This window comes from Homo sapiens, chromosome 11, assembly GCF_000001405.40.
Source record: "Homo sapiens chromosome 11, GRCh38.p14 Primary Assembly".
NCBI classification, from domain to species: domain Eukaryota; kingdom Metazoa; phylum Chordata; class Mammalia; order Primates; family Hominidae; genus Homo; species Homo sapiens.
This window is the reverse complement of record NC_000011.10, coordinates 130,888,900-130,909,024: the sequence shown is the minus strand read 5'-3', so window position 1 is coordinate 130,909,024 and position 20,125 is coordinate 130,888,900. Positions and strand designations below refer to the sequence as shown.

Sequence of the window (20,125 nt, the reverse complement as noted above, 5' to 3'; positions counted from 1 at the left end):
TCTTTCCCTGGTTTGTTCTCCCCCAGTCTTTACTGTAGTCTGCTGACCACTCTCTTCAGCCTTGTCTTGGCTATGCTAGCTTACTCCTTATGGAGGAATACCACAAGAATGAGTCAAAGAAGGCATGGTGCTGCTCTGAGCCAGCAGTGTTAGTTAGCAAGAAGCACCAGAGGAAGAGTAAATGTTTCGTTCTGTTTCTTTGATAGTTTAAGGTTTTGTTTGTACATTGTCCTTTTTAGCAAATATCTGTATGTCATTTTGCCATTCTGAAGAAATGGAGTTAATCTTTAGTGAGGATTATTTTATTTGGTCTTGTATGAGTAGATAAGTTATAACAACTCAACTCCAGATATCTTAGTTTTGACCTGAGTGATCTTTGTTATTCTTTCTGTACCTAAAGAAGAGAAATTGTTTGAATTGACTAGAAAAACTGATTGTTTGCTCTGTGTAAGTTACTCTAAGCATGTTAATATTACTATGCCCCTTAACTGTTATTTTTATTTTTGATCATCTTCTTCACTTTTCCTTTCTCTTTATACTCCTACCTATGTACTTCCACTGATGCACATCTTGATGAAGGTGTTACCGATTTGGAAACTAGAAATCACCTTTTTACTTAAAAAGAAAGAAATTGAAAAATACATCACCAGCCCGCAGAACTCAGGTTTTTATTTCTCTCACTATTGGTTTTGGCTTCTTTTCCCATGGCGTTGTTTGTTTTACTCCTCAAGGAAAAAGATTTTTATGGCCATGGAAAAAAGGAAAGATAGTTGGCACTAAGTCATTAGCTGGTATTCGACCTTCCTACTGGATAAGGCTTTGCTAGATAGCCTGGCCCCTCTCCTTGTCCTGTTGCATAAAGTGCTGTGAGGCGACTGCTTGCTTGGCGGTTTCCATCTGTGGATGTGGATGGACTGACCCTGCACCTCTGACCCCTGCAGATGGTGGTGAGTGCCATTGTGGACACCTTGAAGACAGCGTTTCCTCGCTCTGAACCCCAGAGCCCCACAGAGGAGCTGAGTGAGGCCGAGACCGAAAGCAAGCCCCAGACAGAAGGCAAGAAGGCTAGCAAGTGAGAAGCCCTCAGTTACCCAGGGACCTTTCCCCAGTTCTCAAATTGATCCCCAATCCTCAGCCAACACTCACCCTATTCTCAAGCCCTAGAGGAAAGGAGGTGGGTCAGACATACCAGTTTTTAGGCAAAGCTAGACCCCAGGCTCCTCAGTTTTCCACCCGGAGGAGCCTGCGGTGCTGCAGAGGCAGCACTGCTGAATGTTTGGTTTTGCCATGGGAACCTGGGGCCCAACTGACCAGGGATGTTTGACTAGGAAGAATATTCTCTTTTGACTAGGATATTCTCTTTCCTCTTTTCCTGGAAAATTGAGATGTTTCTTTCCTACTAAGAATTAAGGCTTATAACTGATCTCTGTTTGCCATCATTTCTGGAAATCTTGGCTCAGAAGTTGCATATATTAGCAATAAAGAGGAAAGGGTTAGAATGGAAACCTGCAGGGCCTATTTTAGTAACTGGTTGACTACTGCTACTCTTTCCTGCACTAGGGCCCTAGCTGTTCCCTGGCAGCATTCAAAGCCAACATGTGGCAAGCAAGGGCACCACATGTACCCTTACTGGAAATTTCATCTATATCTGGGTCCTTATGAAAAAAGAGAGAGCATGTGTGTATGTGTGTGTGTCTCTGTCTCTGTGCTTATGTTTCATGGGCCAGCAATAACAGACTCACAGTACCTAACCTTTTCTTAACTGGGCCCATATATTGAGGGATGACCATGATACCTCTGCTTATGAGTCTCTGTCCCTTGAAACATTGATGTTATCACTTGCAGTTCCTTTTCTGGTTTTATTTGGAACACAAGGGGAAAAAATGGATGTCCAAAAAGGATACACCATGAATAGCAATAATGAAAACTTGCTCTATGCCACCTGTCTGTTTAATCTTCAGCAAATTTTTAATGAGTGCCTATTATGTGTTAGCTAATCTATCCTGTGGGAATATAACCATAATACACACTGATGCCAGTTTTACTTAGCAGAAACCATTTCACAAGTGCACTGTAGACATAGCTTAGTGTATGCGTTAACATTATCTATCAAGAATTGCCAGAATATACATTGTTTGGGGGATTGCAGGGCCGAGTCTTTCCTGGCAGCTCTGACCACAGTAAGCTCCCCAGAATAAGTATGGATATTCTTGTTGTGTTTTATTATCAGTACTTGCCAGCCCTTAGTGTGAGGCTCAAGGCCATAAATTACAACCTGTTTCTGCTCTTTGTTTCTGTACCAGGTCTAGGCTGAGGTTCTCATCCAGTAAAATTTCTCCAGCACTAAGTGTGACTGAAGCACAAGACAAGATTCTTTATTGTCTCCAGGAAGGCAATGTGGTAAGAACCAAAACCCAGAGAATGTGAGGCAAAAATATCTGAGATGTTGGTCCTGCAGTTACAGGTAGTTGAGATATTCTCTGAAGTCAGAAATGTCCTGCTAAATGACTTAATCAACGTTTGGATCTCCAGCTTTTATGCTAAAAGTATTTTCTCTAAGTGGTTTGGAATTCCTACCAGTTCTGGGTTGGCAGGTTGGCTTCTCAACCATGGTGGGTTTCGGATAATGGATGACAAGATAAGAAAGAAAGCTAGTTCCTGGAAAAAAAAATGGATGACCAAAAATGGGTGCAGAAATGATAATCCCAGGGCAGGCCTGTTTTACTTGCAACTTCGGTAAAAAATAAAATCTTTCCTAAAGGAGTCATAGCATCAGTTGGGTTTTATACCCAAGGTACTTATGCAGGGGAGAGGCAGGGAAACCTAGAGTGCTGCATTTGCTCCCCTACTGTCAGCATTCCATATGTGATATGCCACTGACTATTTCTTAGGAGTCTGAGACTCTATCCATGTCTGCGATGGAATCTTTTATTGAAAAACAGACAAAGTTACTGGAAATGCAGCCAACAAAAGCCCCAGAAAAAGATCCTGAACAACCTCCCAAAGGACGTGTGGACAGTTGCGTGTCAGATGCAGCCGTGCCAGCCCAAGACCCCAGCAACAGCGATCCAGGTGAGTGGCGAGGTCTCTGCTCCCATGGAGAAGGGAGCCAGGGTGGCATCCACTTGGTACTTGGGGTAGTTGGAGTTTGTAACTTTGATTTCTGTTCCATTCAGCTGAGCATGCCATGTGTTGAACTCCAGTGTTGGAGGTGCTGTGTTGGGGCACAGAGATGAGTAGTACATAGTTGCCACAGCGGAATCAAGCAGCAGAACAGGGCACAAACACAGGAAGTTCTAATCCAGCAGGATGAGATCATGCTGATAATATTGATAACTCATTAAACTTATTTTTGGCATGCTTTGGCATATCAGACTCTTGCATTTCTTAGAAACTTTCTTCCCTTAGTGTCTCAGTTTCCTGGTTTCCTTCATGCCTTTTTCGTGGCTTCTTAGTCCACTCTGTTGGCTCCATGATCCACCTGCCAGAGCTTGATTTTTGGCTCGCTGTCCTTATTCTACACACTCTTCCAGGGTGACTCCAGCTGTAGTGTTGGCTTCAGCTCTAACATGTGTGTGGTGATGCCTTAAACATTGAATATTGTATATCTTCACTTGGATATACCACAGGGCAACTGAAATGTAACGTGTTCAAGATGGAAATTGTCTTTTTTCCCCAGATCTATTCTTTTTATCTTTATTTACTGCCATGGCAGATGATACCACCTAGTTACCCAACATAAAGTAGGGAGGGAGAAGAGGTGAAAGCTTTACTTTCTCCTTATATGCATTGGAGGCAGAGCAATTTTGCCTTCCAGGAGAAGAAGAGCAGATGTGTACTCTGTAGAAGAAAAATTCAAAGCCCTAGATATTAATCAGTATGGTTACTGAACAAGAACTTAAAATAAGTATATCAGTTCCATCAAGATAAAGCCCTCTGTTGAGAATAAAAGATCACAAAATCTTGGATTCAAAACTGGGGAAAAAGCTGATTTCACTATTCTTTCTGAGGTGCCCATGAACAAATCACCTGACATCTCTTCTGAGGGCCTCAATTTAAGTCTGTGAAAAATGGGGTTGACAGCCCCATCCCTTCACACATCTCACAGTTAACTAAATGAAGTGATATGACAGTGAAAGCATCAGAGAACTCTAAGAGACTGTAAAGATGGTGGGGGGCAGGGTCAGTGTGGTAAGAATATCATTCTAGGCAAAGTCCAGCCTGTACATGTTGAACATCATATCTCTAGAGGGATGGTTTAGGCCTGAAACCCTTCTTCTATCTCTGAGAGACTCAAAATGCTCATATGATTATAAAAAACAAAAAAAAATCTACCATTTTCTTTAAGGCAACTGACTTGGTGGTACCTTGTTTGCTTTCTTATTTTTCACTGCTGTAACTAATTGTTACCACATGGTGGCAGCTCCAAGCAAATGCTAAACCTGAGAGAATCATACAATTGAGGACTAAGGCTCAGGATGATGCTGTCTCCCAAGGAATGCAATATTCCATCTTTGAGAAGATGATTAGAAATCACACAACATATCAGCTCCCAATCCTTGCAATACAAACAGAAAAGAAAATATGTATTATATAGGGTTAAGAGGGAAGTATGATTCAGTTCTAGTAGATCTGTCCAAATCGGAAGTCATTCATGTTCAAGGAGAGCTTGGGCAAGGTGATCCAGAGAGTATCCGTTTGTCCTACACTAACAAAGTCATTGTTGATATTACTTATAATATTAATCACAGCAGTGGCACCAGATATCTCAGATCCATTCTGTAACATCACATACTTGGAGGCAAATCAGACGTGACATTGGAACCCCAGGACAGGTTTAAACAGCACGTGCTTCCTTCCACAAAATACATTTGTTCAGGAAACCTTAGTTTAGCATGGGTATAAGCTCATTTGTGGCCCTTACAGTCTTTGAAACAGGAAAGAACGTAGTAATTGTTATGGCATTTTACCAGAGGTGTGGTGTTCTTCCTAGAACCACATGTTATCTCAAAATCAGACTGAAGCCTCCTGAATCCTAACCCCACAGCTCTGTGTAATGGAGGTTTTTCAGGAAAGTGAATGCCAACTCTTTCCCCACTTCTGCCACGGTGTTTCCATAATGCTTTGTGGGGGCGAGTGGAATGCAAGGTTGGAAAGAGAGGAGGCCTTGCCAGTTACACTTAGTCACTAGTTGTGATTTTCTTTGGAACAGAAAGTATTCAGCATCCTGGGGAAATACAGAAGAAATAGAAACTAAGTAGGCAAAATAAGTGCGTGTGTGTGTGTGTGTGTGTGTGTGTGTGTGTGTATGTGTATATATATATATATGTATATATACACACATATATATATTTAGCAGATATATATATAATTAGAAGATATATATCTTTTAAAAACATAGAAACATTTATTAGGTTACAATATCAGGAACATTAATAAAAATTGTAAAGAAATGCTGAGCCTGTCACTGAACCTTCTAGATATGAGTTAAACCTCTTTTGATTTGAGTGTAGAGGGATTGCAAAAATACCAGATGATTGGCATGAAGGTAGAGAGACACAGGTGCCACCAGTACCTTGAAAGATGTTCCTCAAGTATGGGTCTCTTCTGAGTTACTCCTGATGCCATTTTATCCCTCAGGAACAGAGACAGAGTTAGCTGACACAGCCCTGGATCTGCTCCTCTTGCTACTAACAGAACAGTGGAAATGGCTATGTACCGAAAACATGCAAAAGTTTCTTCGTCTTATCTTTGGGACCCTAGTTCAAAGGTAAGACTGCTGAATTCTCCCTCACATCAGAATCTCAAGTTGCAGAGAAGGTGGATGTGATGCTGAATAGTGTCCAGGGAATCTGCAGCCGTAAGAGAAGATAGATTCTCTGTTACAGGGGTTACAGGGATGAAAAATGCCTTGAGAGTATCAGAAAGCTTTTATTGACTACCTTGTTGTCTACAATTTGAAAGTAAGACTGTAAGACTTCTGGCATAATGTACTGAGTTGCAGACACTGTGTGTGATCCTAAAATACTTAGCTGAACTCTTCCTCCTCTCAATTTTCCACCCAGTTATATCCTCCAGCCCTGCACCTCTCACTTGGTTATGGTGGACATTTGTCTCAACTGACATTATGTCATCACTGTGATGATAAACAGTGGGAAAGAAAAGGAGAAAACAGATCAGTGCTCTTGAAATAAAGATTGTTTTCTCTGAGAGGGGCATAAATATTCACAGCTGAAATACTTACTGACACAGGATGGTAAAGAATAGAGGGAAATTTGGATTTGCAAGTTGGCTTTTCTAATCCAGTCTTTGTAATCCTCACACCATTTGATCTCCTGAAAGATTTGTACACAGGTGGAGTTTTTAGCTGCTGACTTTCTAACTATGGAACTGATGTAAGCTTTGTTAACCTGAAGTAGGCCAGAAACACTCTCTCTGAGCCAGGCAGACACACGTAGTGCTTGGGTTTTGGCTACTCTTGTTTTGAACTCCCTCTTATGAGACGTCCTGGCACATCCCAAAGTAAGAGGAAGCCAAATGCTGACCTTCTCTTAGCATGAGGCTCATGCTAACAGGTCACTCAAAAAATACATCCTTATAAAAAAGAATTATGTATCTATTCTTTACCAAGTCGAAAAGTTATTAACAGCAAGCAATTAAATCTCCCTTTTCTAAGTTATGTAGGATCAAGGAGGTTTAATAAAATTGAATCATAAAGAGACCAAGTGAAAGAAGATGATGCACATCTATATTTGCTAAGCGCTTATCTATGCCAGCGCCCAATCTCCATTTACATGTACTTTTTTATAGTGGTCAAGTGAGGTAGGTAGCCCCATTTTACAGAATGAGAAAATAGAGCTTGGCAAAGTCAACTAACATGCCCAAGGTCGTCATTAGTAGCACACTTAGAATTTTAAACCAGATTTGTACAACTTCAAAGCCAATGTGCTTTTTTCATGTATCTTGTAGCCTTAAGACTGATGTCCAAGTGAAACCTACATATAAAATGCTGACTGGTCTTTGTCCCTTTAAGCTTTTCCCCTTGTTCCTACTCAGTATTCAGCCCTGCCACTAGAGTGCCTTTTTCTGAAAAACAAATCTGAACATATATTCTGCACTTAAAATCTTTCAGTAGTATCCTATTACCTACAAAAGTGGTTTTTCCATTATGTTTCCTAGAGTTCTAGGGTTCTGCAGAAGTGCTTCTGAAGCCAACTTAGAAGCTCAGGGAAAACTGAGTGGACCATGACCCAACCACAGAAGTTACACTTTGATCAGTTTAATATACTGGGGCTCTAGGTAACGCTTTGTTTGAAAAGGGGCTCCACTCTGTTTAAAATATGCATTTATTTCTTTATATTAAAATTCCACCTCCTTTCTTACTTGGCATGATCTGGTTTCAGTCTTATTTTTCATTTTCCACCGTGTAAACGTCCATCATTGCCTGAATATTCTGTGGTCTTTTACCCCCAGGCCTTTGCTCATCTTCCTGTATCTGCCTTCGAATGGTCTTTCTCTACCTGTTATTTCCCTGTTCCTTCCATGTGTTCCTAACTTTTCCTCTTCTTGTCTGCTTGGCCTACTGCAAAACATTTTTCATATATTAAGCATAAAATGTCATTTATTCTGTGAAACCTTCTGTAGCATCTGCTCTCTTTCCCCGAGAATTAAGGAGTCCTCTTCTCTAACTTGCAAAGTTTTGATAATAATACTTGTCACAGTGTGTTTATATAAATGATCTGCTTTTCCTACACTAGTGGTTGTCAACTGGGGTACACTTTTGTCCCCCAGGGGACACTTGCCATTATCTGGAGATATTTTTTGTTGTCACAACTGGGAAGGAGATGTGGGATGCCTACTGGCATCTAGTGGATGTAGGCCAAGGATGCTGCTAAACATCCTGCAGCTACACAGGACAGTCCACCATGCCAAACAACGTGAATTATCCTGCCCAAAATATCAGTGTTACCAAGCTTGAGAAATGCTGTGTAGACTATTAGTTCTTTAAGGACCGGAACTAGCTTTGTCTCCCCAGCAGCTTATACAGGGCCTGGACATAGTAGGTACTCATTAAATATTGAATAAAGAAATAAACATTTCCCTTCCCAGTACCTTTACACTTGAAAGTATAGTCTCTTTAGTTTTATTCTGTCACCTCTGGATGTCACTAATTAGGCCTTCATTTCTCTTCTTCTTTTTTTGGACTTCCCTTTGCTAATCTTCTAAGTGGTTTAAAAAAACAAAATGAGAAGATCCCAAAACTAGCTAGTGTGTGATCTAATATGACCCCTTCTCCTTGAGGTCATTTACATGACAGATTGGTTTCAGAACACGAGAAATTATTCAGTATGAGGATAAAAGTATAGATGAGTTAGGAGAAATTCAAAAAAGATTGAGATCCTTATATAAAAGGGGTAGGAAAAAGTTGACCTGAAGTTTGAATAACTCAGAGTGCTCAAGGGTTTGGGCTAGTCCAGATAAAGGAGAAATACCTATATTCTGGGAGTTAGAGAATGATCACAGAAGTACTTTTTCATGTGGCCGGGGCCCTGGGAGATCTAAGGCAGAAAAGTTAAATACGAGCGAAGCAAGCTCCAGCTGCGTGGCAGACATGGAAAAGACAGGGCTCATTTTAGAGTTCAGAGCAGAGGCTGTGAGACTTCTTTCTTTTTCATTTTTCATATATTGAGGATAAAATGTCAATATATGAAATATCAGTGAGATGGGATTTCATTCTGTCGCCCAGGCTGGAGTGCAGTGGCACTGCAATCATAGCTCACTGTAACCTCCTGGGCTCAAGCCATCCTCCCACCTCAGCCTCCCAGGTAGCTAGGACTACAGGCACACACCACCGTGCTTGGCTAATTTTTTAAATTTTTTGGTTGAGATGGGGTCTCACTATGTTGCCCAGGCAAGTTCCTCACCTTTCCATTCCTGTCCCTGACACTCCCCAACTACAACCACAACTCCAGTGAGCTGGGTAAAGTCTGGTGAATGCAGACTAGCAAAACCCAAATGTAGCTCATGCCATAAAGGAAATGAGGGAGAGGGCTTACAGCTGAATTTCCCTAGACTTTCTCCTCTTTTCACATTCTGACTTTTTGTTTTTTGGTTTTGTCTTATTCTGTTTTATGGAAAAGCATCACTATTGTGATGGGAAAAGTGGGAAAACTCTGAATATATTTGGTGAATTTGAATGAAGCCACTGTGAATATTGGGCAAGAACAGCATTTTGCGGCTAGTTACTTTTGAAAAACTTGTTGTAACTATGGCCTGTTATCTTTGGTTCATTGTACATATTTCCAGGTGAAGATGTTTTATACATGTTCAGTTACCTCATATCCCTTCCTGTCAACAAGTTCTTATATCTAAGAATACAACTTTATCCTTAGCCCATTTGGTTTTGTATTAGCTGCAATGAAAATAGGACCACATCTGGTTAGCAGTCTCCTCACCCAAGCTTCCACAGACTAGAATTAAATGAAGAATCTCATACTTCTCTGTTTGAGGCCATTCATGTATCCCTACAAATCATTTTTCCCATCTTTTTAATGACATTTTTGGCCCTCTTCTGAAGTACCTTATAGCTGGTTTCACAGTTTTCCTGAAGCCTCCTTAAGATAGGAAGCTAGAAGTCATGATATCTAAAGAAAGAACCGGTTCTTCCACTAGAGCTTCCAAAGATCTGGCACTGGTGGCCCATGGTCTCATACCTGGAAGCACCCTGTGCATTATAGACATGGAGCTAACACATTTTAGCATTCAGAGTGTAAACGTTGATAATCTCGTCAGCATCAGCACATTTGCTGTCCAGCAAATGTTTATCGAGAGTTGACTTAGTGCAAATACTGTACTGAACACTGTATGCACATGCTGTTCAAAAGCCACAGTTACTTTTGCACCAACTTAATACCATTTAATTCCTCCAAGTCCTGCGAAAGCGGTACTATGACCCTCATTTTAAAGACAAGGAAACTAAGGTTTACAAAGAATGTGGGTTATCTAGTCAAAATCACAGGGTTAATAAATATCACAAGCAGAATTTGAACCCAGGTTTTTCTGATTTATAGCTGTGATGATTGTCTAAATTTCAGGATCAGATCTTTGCCCTGCAATTCAGCAGGATAAAAGCCAACCCAAAAATCTCTGTCTCCAAGTACTGGAGATTATCAGGCAGTTTGTAGAATCCAAACTGCATCTCCGTATCTACACACTTGCAGCTAACCTAAGGGCAGTGCTGCAGTCTAAAGACAGCCCATGTTACTATCCCTGGGACAGTTGCAGGTTTTAATTTTAAAAAGTGGTGTATGCATTGCTGCATGCTTCAGCTTTATTTGCTTTGGTAAGCCAATATGCTGGAAACTTGACATCTCCAGAGCTGCAGCACCTCTCCACTGTACCCCCTGCATCTCCCACAAGAGGCATGATATGAGGTCCCGTTGCCTCCCATCCCCATGACTGCTGCCTAGGAGGCTACATGTTTGTCCTCCCTGAAACCACGGGTAGCTGAGCCATATGCTTTTGCAGGGTACTTGGGTTCTCTTCCTTTAAGTTCCGTGCTTAAAAGAGCAGGATAGTTGGTGTTGGTGCCACACGTGGTACTGCCACTTCTCTAGTTATTTAGAACTCACTGCAGTTTGACCATCAGGGATGCTGTAGTCACCAGATTTGAGTGCATCTCCTCCTTAAAATGTCCTCATGTTCCAACCTCCAGTATTATTATCCCCAAGCAGGCAAGTTTATTCCTCTGCTTCCAACTTTGTATACCCATCTTGCAACTTTAAAAGACCTGTGTACATTACTGCCTTGGACGCCATAGACTTCTGTCAAATTATAAGCACACTCTCTATCCTGCAAAGGAAAAAAAAAAAACAGAGTAAGTTCGACCTCATAACCCCTCCTTCTAAGCCAAAGTTGGAAGAGCTCTGATCTGAGCCAGGCTTATAAATCTCCGTTGATTGTTGATGATGTGGAGAGAAGTGGGAGGGGAGCTGAAGAGAAGTTAGATGCCCAAAAAAGGCATTGTTAAGTCAAAGGGAAGTCTTGCATGCATGTGCGCCTAACCTCATGTGTCAGCTTCTGTGCTGGGAACATCCAATTATGTAACAAGAAGCACTCCTTATTTGGAATGAGAGACAAAGGGAGGGGAAGGGGAGAGCGGGTAGCACTCTGAGCCAAGGAGCAAATCCGGCTTGTGCAAACTCTGCTCATGCCCGAAAACAGAAGAAACTTGAAAATATCTCTGCAAACATCAGAATCAGATTTAGCAAACTGGGCAAGTACTCAGAGTTAGACTGGGTTGGAGGGAAAGAGGAGAGATACACTGTGCTGCATTGATGGTAGGGGGTTTGGGGCAGGAAGATCCAGCCAAGGTAAGGGGTAGGATTGGTGTGGAGTCCTGATGGAAAGTGAAGGAATGAGAAGCTGGACCGGCGCCCTGCCTGGACACCCAGAGCAATGCCACGATAAAAATAGGAACCATGCCAGCAGCAGAATGCGTGAATGCCACGTCCGCGGCGCTGCCCTCCCCATGGCCCCAACGATGGCATCAGACCTGTGTCAAAAGGGCAGCAGACACATTCCTGGCATCTGCGTCAGGATTTCTCAGTTAAAAAGGGAGTGTGTGTGTGTGTGTCTGTGTGTGTGTGTGTAAGATAGAGACAGAGTGTGTGTGTGTGAGTGTTGGGGGCATGTGGGAATGGAATGGCTTGGCAGAAAGCCAGGGGGAAAGGTTCTGGCAGAGGGGAGCGTGAAGTGTGTAAAGTTAGGAAGTATCCAGAGAGGAAGAAGAAAAGAAAGGGTGTGCAGGTTTAAGGAGTCCAACAAGCAGGGCACCCAGGAGAAACTTGATGGCAAGCTCTAGACCTTACACCAGACCTTGGAATCACTTTCTTAGAGAAGATGTCTCTCTCTAAACCATCTCCTAGGAAAGGTCAGGAGAGCTGCGGCAGAGTCTGGGAGCACTGGAGAGTGCTGTGCTGCAAGGCGCAACGTCCACCTCCCCTAAGGACAGTTGGGAAAGGTTGACCATGAACCCTCTTGCTTCCACTGTTCTCTTAGAACGCTCCAGAATCAAGGCGCTTTCTGTGGAACTCTACTTCAAGGGCCTCTTTCTTGGTGGGCATGTCTAACTAGCAGGTGGATAACAGTTCTTTGTGACATTGGTTATTTCTTAAGAGAACCTCCAGGTCTGCCACCAAAAGTGCACGAGTAATTGCAATGGGAAAGGAACTGACGCTTATTACAATATTAATACCAGGAAAGCAGCTATGTACTGTTTATATTAATGTTCAATTCTATGAGATAGACATGTAGTTCTACATTTCATAAGTGAAGAAAATTACATTCAGATAAAATAACGTTCCCAAAATCATAAAAGTCGTAACAACCACACCTTAAGATTCCACTTAAGTCATCCTGGCCTCAGAGCTCATGTGTTTCCCACTGCTCTGCCATGCTTCCCCTCCATGCAAGCTTTCCCACAAAGCAGTGGCCACTAGAACTGGGTTCACCTGAAAGTTCCCTTGCCGTATTCCCATCTAGCCTCTCTTGCTTTCCATCCAGCTGGTCTCAGGGACACACGCATCTGATGGTAGCATATAAATTATTTTTGTCTGCATATTCTGATTTTATTTTTAAAGCACTTCTGAGCCAGAGATTGTCTCTTAGCTATCTCTATTTATATGCTATTCACAATCAGGAAAAGATTATCAACGTTAAGACTCAGAGTTTCTCAGGAAGCATAGATTACAGTTTTTTCCTTTGCTGTGTAACTTTTTCTTCCAGTTCAGCTCTGATGCCTGGCTATGTCTTATACCCCATCTCTTCCTATGCACAGCTTTTCTAGAAATACGCATACTTTTGCAAGACCCCCACATACAAAATTAACTCAAGCTCAGTCTTCAGAATTCTCGCTTATTTTCTGGCTCTCCAGTCATTGGCTTGGGCTGTTTTTAGAGGTGCTGAAATTAATTTTTCTCATTGATGGCTTTGCTCAGATTGTACTGTGGCTCCCTGGGAAGGAGTACTGCTTGTCCCAGGCCTCTTCCATTAGGCCATGCCAAAGGGAAGCTCTTGACTTCTATAGACTGGGCCAGGATGGGCCCTAGCAGTTTCCCCTGTCATATGAGTGGTCTGCCTGTCATATTTCTTGGGTATCACTTATTCTACACCCATCTTAGGATGAAGACATCATGGCTTTCCTGTCACATAGTGACAGTCTCTACTGGAATATATCTTTGAGATTGTAGCAGGTGGATGGCAGCTGACAGCCGTGTGCCTGAGCATTGCATTTGCATTTCTGTGTGTGTGTGCTCTTGAAGTCTCATATACTCAAATAGAGGTACAAAATTGCTCATTGTAAAAGTTAACAAAAAACAGAATATCATGAGGTATTTAAACCTCAGAGCCTTTTTTTCCAAGTCAGGTTCTTGGCATCTCTTGCCCATCTGTGACTGCAAACAGGAACCTAAGATTTTGACATTTTGATGACAGCTTTAGAATGTATGTCAGCATCCTGAGGGCAGGGACTGCGTCTTATTTACCATTATATCTTCAACACCCAGCCCCATGCATAGAAGGCACCTAGTAAATTTGTGTCAAATAAATGAACACAGAAGATCACACGTCATTCTACTGGAGGCAGTCCCTCTGCTTATCACTATTAAGAATCTTAGGGTTTCCTCAACAGTGCTGGGGGACCAGAAGCAAAATGGAAACTGAGTCTTTCATTCCCTCCACACAGGGCATACCCAGATCTTCAGTTAATTGGGGAATTCTGATTCCCAGAGCCATGGTACGGCCTAAGCAAAGAGGTTTGGGGGCCCTTCAGGCCATCTCCCATTCTAATGGCTCTCTCCTTTCCAAAGAGTGCAGCGCCCCTCCACAACCTGGGCCTCCCAGTATGAAGCCCCACCGAGCCTGCCCTCTCTGGAAGCATCTCCTGCTGTTGTACTTTCTCCACCTCTTTCCTTCCACATGGAAAGCAAGAACTTGGACTTTGAAGTCAGATCTGAAATCAGATCTTGCTTTGAGGCTATGTGACTTAGAACAAACCACTTAACTTCCTTTGTCTGTTACTGTCGAAATAGAAATCATAGCCTAGTGCATGAAGTTCTTTGGGGGGATAAGAGATAATTTAGAGGTAAATGTTAGAGAGGCTTTATAGAGGAAGGTATAACAGCTAGATCTTGTGAGATAGGTGTCATTTAGACTGGTTTAGGCTAAATAATATTCTAGACACTAAGACATTTTTAAAACAGGAGGAGGGGCATTCTACTTTCAAATAAAAAGCAACCTGGAATATTTTTAGCCAGCTTCTTTCTGAATGTGTGTTGCTTTTATTGTTTCAAATAGGTGACAAAAAGCCTACCAAACTGCTGCTGCATGGCGTGGGCACAGGAATTCTCTCTATGGGCACCAGGTGGCGCTGCAGGTTAAACAATACCATTCACTGTCCTTTGAGGAAGACCTGTTTGTTTTGCAGTTATAGGTCCCCTGCCGTGATGTTGATACAGTATATTGAAGCCATTCCCTGGCTTGCTCTACGGTTTAGAGGCCACTTATCTGCCTACTCCTTAGTGCCAGTGACTTTTAGATAAGCCCTGTTTCTTTGATCTTTCACCCTTCTTCCTTCTGCTCTAATGCGTCTTCAGCATATGCTTGCTTCTCTGAGTGGTGTGGATGACCAGAAGTTGCCCCTTTGAGTGGATCCCACCCGTTAAAAATTCAGTGCTGGAGCTGATTCATTCAGAACAGAGTGAGCAGAACAGAGTCTGTGGTGATGAGACCAGCTAGACATCTGAATTGCAAGAATTTTGTTAATATTCTGTATAAACTACTTGGACCTATATTCAGGGTCTCCTGTGATCCTAAAATCTTATACATTATGTATTCACTAAGATGGAGATTGTCAGTGCTGAATAGCCCCGATGTTAGGAATCTTATCAACCTGTTACATAATCAAGGACATTCCCTATTGCTTTCGGCCATGGATGGAGACCGTTTGGCTCTCCCCCATTAACTTGGTTTTGGAGAAGCAACCATATGTTATTGCTTACTTTTGATCTTTACCTCTGTCCTTGCAGGCTTCTCCAAGTGCCCTTTGGAGAAGTAGAGCTATTTGGTACTGGAGCAGGGAGGGAGTTGGGTAAATTGGTGGGAAATATACTTTAGCTCTAATATAATGCTGGCCCCGAAAGATTTCTCGGAGAGGATTCAGCCTTCCTGGGAGGGAGGCTGGTGTGCAAATGCAGCATCAAGGTAAGTTCCTCAACACCTGCCTCCTCTCTCCCCCAGGTTTCCTTTTTGTTGTTTTTCCAGTTTTATTTATTACTCCTCTGTGTTTTCTACCCATAGTCAGTGCTCCCAAAGTTCCTATTCTGTGGAGATTCTGGAGTTGCCACTTCGGTGTCCCTACGTCCTTCATAACGGGATAGATGGCCTTCTACTTGGAAAGGTTTTACATTTCAGCCTGTAGACAGGGAACTGGAAATACTTTTGGGTAGCTCTTCTACACCAAGGTGATGGTGTTAATGATAGTCACTTTTCCTTCTCCTCTACACCCCTCTCAGTGTTTTTTCTCTTTGTTTATCTTGGGCATCTGCTTCTCATATATGTATTCTTTATTCTCCTCAAGGCTGGTCTTTTCCAGCCTCCTGTAGCCATTTTCACAGCATAATTTGAAGTCCTCCCATGTCTGCTGATTTAAATAAATCCCTAATAATTTTCTTCCAAATCATGGCTGAGCACACTCTAAATCTGTTATCCGTAATATTTGCAGAAATTTGGAGGTCAGCCCCTTCTGCGAGCACATAATTACTTATCACTTCTGCCTCCTGCAACCCTTCCCTTCCCATCCTCCTTTCCTGTGGTGGGAGTTCTATGTGCAGAGCAGAACAGGGAGATCTCCCTGTGAGGTAAAGCCCCCATGAACAATAGGGACTCTGGTCGTCAAGACAACCACTAAATTACTGCCTTCTTCCCTCTTTTGTGTCTTGCCTTTCTTCCTGGTGCTTCAGCACTAAGGGTTTTGCTCCCTCTCCCTGCCCTTTCCCCTCCACGGACTCAATTTTCTTCTGAATGGGTGGCCATTTTAATTACCTTCCCCCTTCCCCACCCCACCTCTCTGCCCTTGCCCTTGCTGCTGAGAAAGGCAGGCTCAGGATAACTACCTGGGGACTGAGAATGAGCCAGGCTTGCTGTTCACACGGGGACAAGGAAAGAAGAGACAGAGACATTTGGATCCTATAGTCTCTGCAGTGAAAGTTTTATTGGTTGGTACATGGAGGTCTGGTTTTAGGAAGGATTCGGAAATAGAGTTTTCATATTATCCAAAACCCCCTGAGGCCTCGTCCCAATTTTCTTAACTGCTCAGTACCAAATGCTTTACTGGTTTCAGTATTTACTTCCCTGAGCCTGCCAGGAAGAGTAAGCTTTACAAGTGAGAAAACTGAGGCATGAAATGCAAAGCTTACTCCAGATCCTGCCATCATTAGTTCGCTGAACCTGGTTGAATTTTTACAGAAGGTCTGAAGTAGTCTTTTTCTCTTTTACATGTGCAAACACACAAGCACTTTTAGAAATACTTTTTATTTTTCTTATTTCATCTTGATGATAACTTTGTGAAAAAGGCAAGGCAAGAATTTGCCCATTTTATAATGAAGGAAGCCAGAGCTCAGAGAGTTTGTTCAACTTTTATGTGGTTAAGCCAGGTTCAAACCTGTCTGTCGCTTTTCAGTGTCATTTTTAAAGTCTGTCAGTCCTGATTTTCTCAGAACTGGATTATAGTATGTCGGTAGCAACATAGTATGGGGCCAAAAAAAGGTTGACTTGAAAGACTTCAGAGGCACACTAGATTTGTGCATAGAAAACTTTCAGATTGGCCGGGCGCAGTGGCTCATGCCTGTAATCCCAGCACTTTGGGAGGCCAAGGTGGGTGGATCATTTGAGGTCAGGAGTTTCAGACCAGCCTGATCAACATGGTGAAACCCCGTCTTTACTGAAAATACAAAAAAAATTTGCCGGGCATCGTGGCGCATGCCCTTAGTCCCAGGTACTCGGGAGGCTGAGGCAAGAGAATCACTTGAACCCAGGAGGTGGAGGTTTCAGTGAGCCGAGATTGCACCACTGCACTCCAGCCTGGGCGACAGAATGAGACTGTCTCAAAAAAAAAAAAAAGAAAAAACTTTCAGAATGAAATCTTAAACATGTCACAATACTCAAATATAGAAATTGTTAGAGCTTTCCCTTTACAATCAGTCTTATTTATCCTAAAAATACACAGACCCCAAGTGTCTTTTTCTCTTTCTACATTTGTTAGAAAGGTAACCTGACCTTTGCTTTTGGTCTTTCCTCCCCCATTCTGCTACCTTCCTCTCTTCTTTTCTTCTTACTAGTTTCAAATAATGGGTTGGAATCAATTCAATGCTGCTCCATCCGTCAGAGGCACTTCCCAAAATACAAGTGTGACTCATAGTCCTCATAACCCCCCTTTGCTTTTTGTTTGACTTTCAATCTCTTCTATCCTCTGGGCCTATTTCCCAGGAAAATTGACCAAACATAAGCTACTGGCAGCTGTCTCTCTCCTCCAGGATTTATAGTGTGAGATAAGGAGCATGGCTGACCCACTCCCTTGCCTTCCAGCTCTCTTCCCTTCCAGAGGAATGCATAGCCAGGTGTGAATGCCCATTTCATGGATTATTCTTAGTTCTAGACCACCTGACTTATTACCTAGCATACCCGTTACAACATCAGCTCTATCGCTGGTGTATTAGCCCACAGTTTCATTTTATTATTAGCCTAAACAAAAGATTATTAGGAAAGTAAATCTGTCAGACGTGTATATAAACATATATGGAATGCCAAATATAAAGGATTTTTATATTGTCCATGATTTTTTAAAATCTATAATTGTCTTCCTCTGTAAGCATGAATAATTAAGAGCTCAATGTTTTTGCTGTTGTAAGTATTGGGATGTATGCTTTCTGCAGAACCTATTTTGAACTGTGTGCCATGCTTTAAGACCAGTGTTTGTCCCATATACAGCATGAATTCACTTAGTAACCAATATTTATTGATTGCTTTCTCTGTGGTAGGCACTTCGTTAAGTGATCAAAATACAAAAAAAAAAAAAAGACCCAAATCCCTACCATAGGAAGTGTGATATCCAATTGGAGGTGCAAACTTATAAATAGGAGTTGTAGTATAAAATCAGTGCTTTGAAAAGAACTCTATATGTGATTCAGAGAAGGGATTTATCAATTATGAGAGGTGCAGGGAAGGCTTATAGTAGATGACATCAGAGATGAGATTTAAAGAATGTGGGGCGTTGCCAGCGGACAGTGAGAGAGAGAGAGAACATTCAAGGCAGAGCAGTAAAACAATATAGTGTATTTGTGGTACTCAAAGAAGTTAGTATGATTGATTAGGAATATATGATATGCAAGAATAATGGCTGATGATAACAGTGAAGAGTTTAAAGGGAGTCTGCTCATTCAGACTCCTGTGAGTCATTCCAAGAACAAAACATTTGTCACTCATTTGATAGGAAACAATTTTACAAAACATAAACAGATGATGACATGAGCAAATTTGCAATTGAGAAAAATCATTTAAATAGTGCTGTGGAGGATTAATTAATTGAAGGGGCCAAAGTTAGAAACAGGAAGACAAATTAGGGAGGAGTTTCATTGATAGAAAAGGTGATGAGGCATTCAGCTGAGATCATTGCTATAGAGATGGTAAAGGGGTAATAGATTCATGAGATATTGAGGAGGTAGGATCACCTATATTTAGTGACTATTTAAATGATTATGTGGTGTTGGATTAGGGTTGAGAAAAAGACAAATCAAGAATGACTCACACAGTTTTCCACCTTGCAGATTGAGAAGCATAACTAAAAAGATGGGGTAATATCTTTCTGAACAGCATATTGGGGTTGTGGTTAAAATCCTGTTGCTTACTAAAGTAATAGATTAGTATCTACTCTGATTTATATAAAAATCAATGATGCACCCAGAGAAGCCTGTACTGTATCTCTAATAATTTTGAGATTCTTTTTAGTAGAAAACTTAAGGCCCAGATTATATTTTCAACTTTTTTTCTATCTGTAAGTTTCTTTAGAAGAAAAATGAAAACAGAGAATGAATAGCTAACCTTGTAGCTGGTACCAAGGCAAGGTTTTTAAATTTTCTGTGCCATGACGTATGATTATTCACATGGTGAACTTCTGACCACAGACAGAATACAACTCAAAAATAGTAGAAAGAATGTGTTTGTCAGCAGACCATCAACCCAGTGAAGAGTAAGACATTGACAAAAAAATTCAGATAAAGTTAAAACTGGATATTGAGAAAAACAGCTGACACAGAAAGGAAAGCAGAGATAGATGAGAGTACTGGAATTCACAGGAGCGTAACAGAATGAGATAAAAACTGTTTTACATGCTGTAAGAACAGATTAACTTAAAATTCACGCCTGAAGGTATCACTCAAAGTTTTGCAACAGGATCGATTCATTCAGTAAATATTTGATTGTTTATTTGTGAATGACACTATTAAATGCTAAAGGAGATGTCAAAATGAATTACATAAGATTTCTGCCTTCAAAACCTTAAGAGTCTTTTTCTGGGGGGTCGGGGGGCATTTACAAGAAGCTCAACCAATGCTTTGAGTAAATGAATGAACAAATTAAACACCCATTTCCAATGAGGAAGAAAAAGAGTCAGCATCAAATGAAACCAGGGTAGTTAACTGCGATCAGATTCTAGGTGAACATATTTTAAAAACAGAAAGAGGGGACACATACTGAACAATGCAAAAATAGTAGTAATAGAACTAGTAAGAACAGGGTCCAGTAAGCTTCAACTCAGAAGGAGCTGAGGTTGTAGATAAATATTAAGGGAAAAGACTTAGGTGAAAAACACATACACGTGTCACATGTTACTAACAAGAAAAAATATATGTAGGTAATTGTTTGGGACAGATGCTGTAGTATCAACTGATTACATGGTGAAAGCATTTATTCATTCATTCAGCAGTGAATGAATGGGTCTATTATTTGCTAGGCTGTTTTCTATTTTCTTTGTCAAGGAAAATGGCCTAGCAAGAAGAATTGAACAGACATG

At 41.5% G+C, this 20,125-nt stretch overlaps 1 protein-coding gene across 17 annotated transcripts in view; it reads left to right on the top strand.

Moving 5' to 3' along the window:
• The window catches only part of SNX19 (sorting nexin 19), a 50,230-nt gene that overhangs the window by 7,455 nt on the left and 22,650 nt on the right, over positions 1-20,125 (top strand). For 9 of the 17 annotated variants that reach the window (NM_001347924.2, NM_001347926.2, NM_001301089.2 and 6 more), the window contains 4 exons: positions 942-1,072; positions 2,304-2,400; positions 2,892-3,072; positions 5,641-5,770. In NM_001347924.2, the coding sequence (NP_001334853.1) occupies positions 942-1,072; positions 2,304-2,400; positions 2,892-3,072; positions 5,641-5,770 (539 nt within the window). Of the gene's footprint in view, positions 1-579; positions 665-941; positions 1,073-2,303; positions 2,401-2,891; positions 3,073-3,176; positions 3,369-5,640; positions 5,771-7,179 lie in introns of those variants that run through there. The other 8 variants (NR_144939.2, NM_001347925.2, XM_047426943.1 and 5 more) reach the window with 6 other exon arrangements.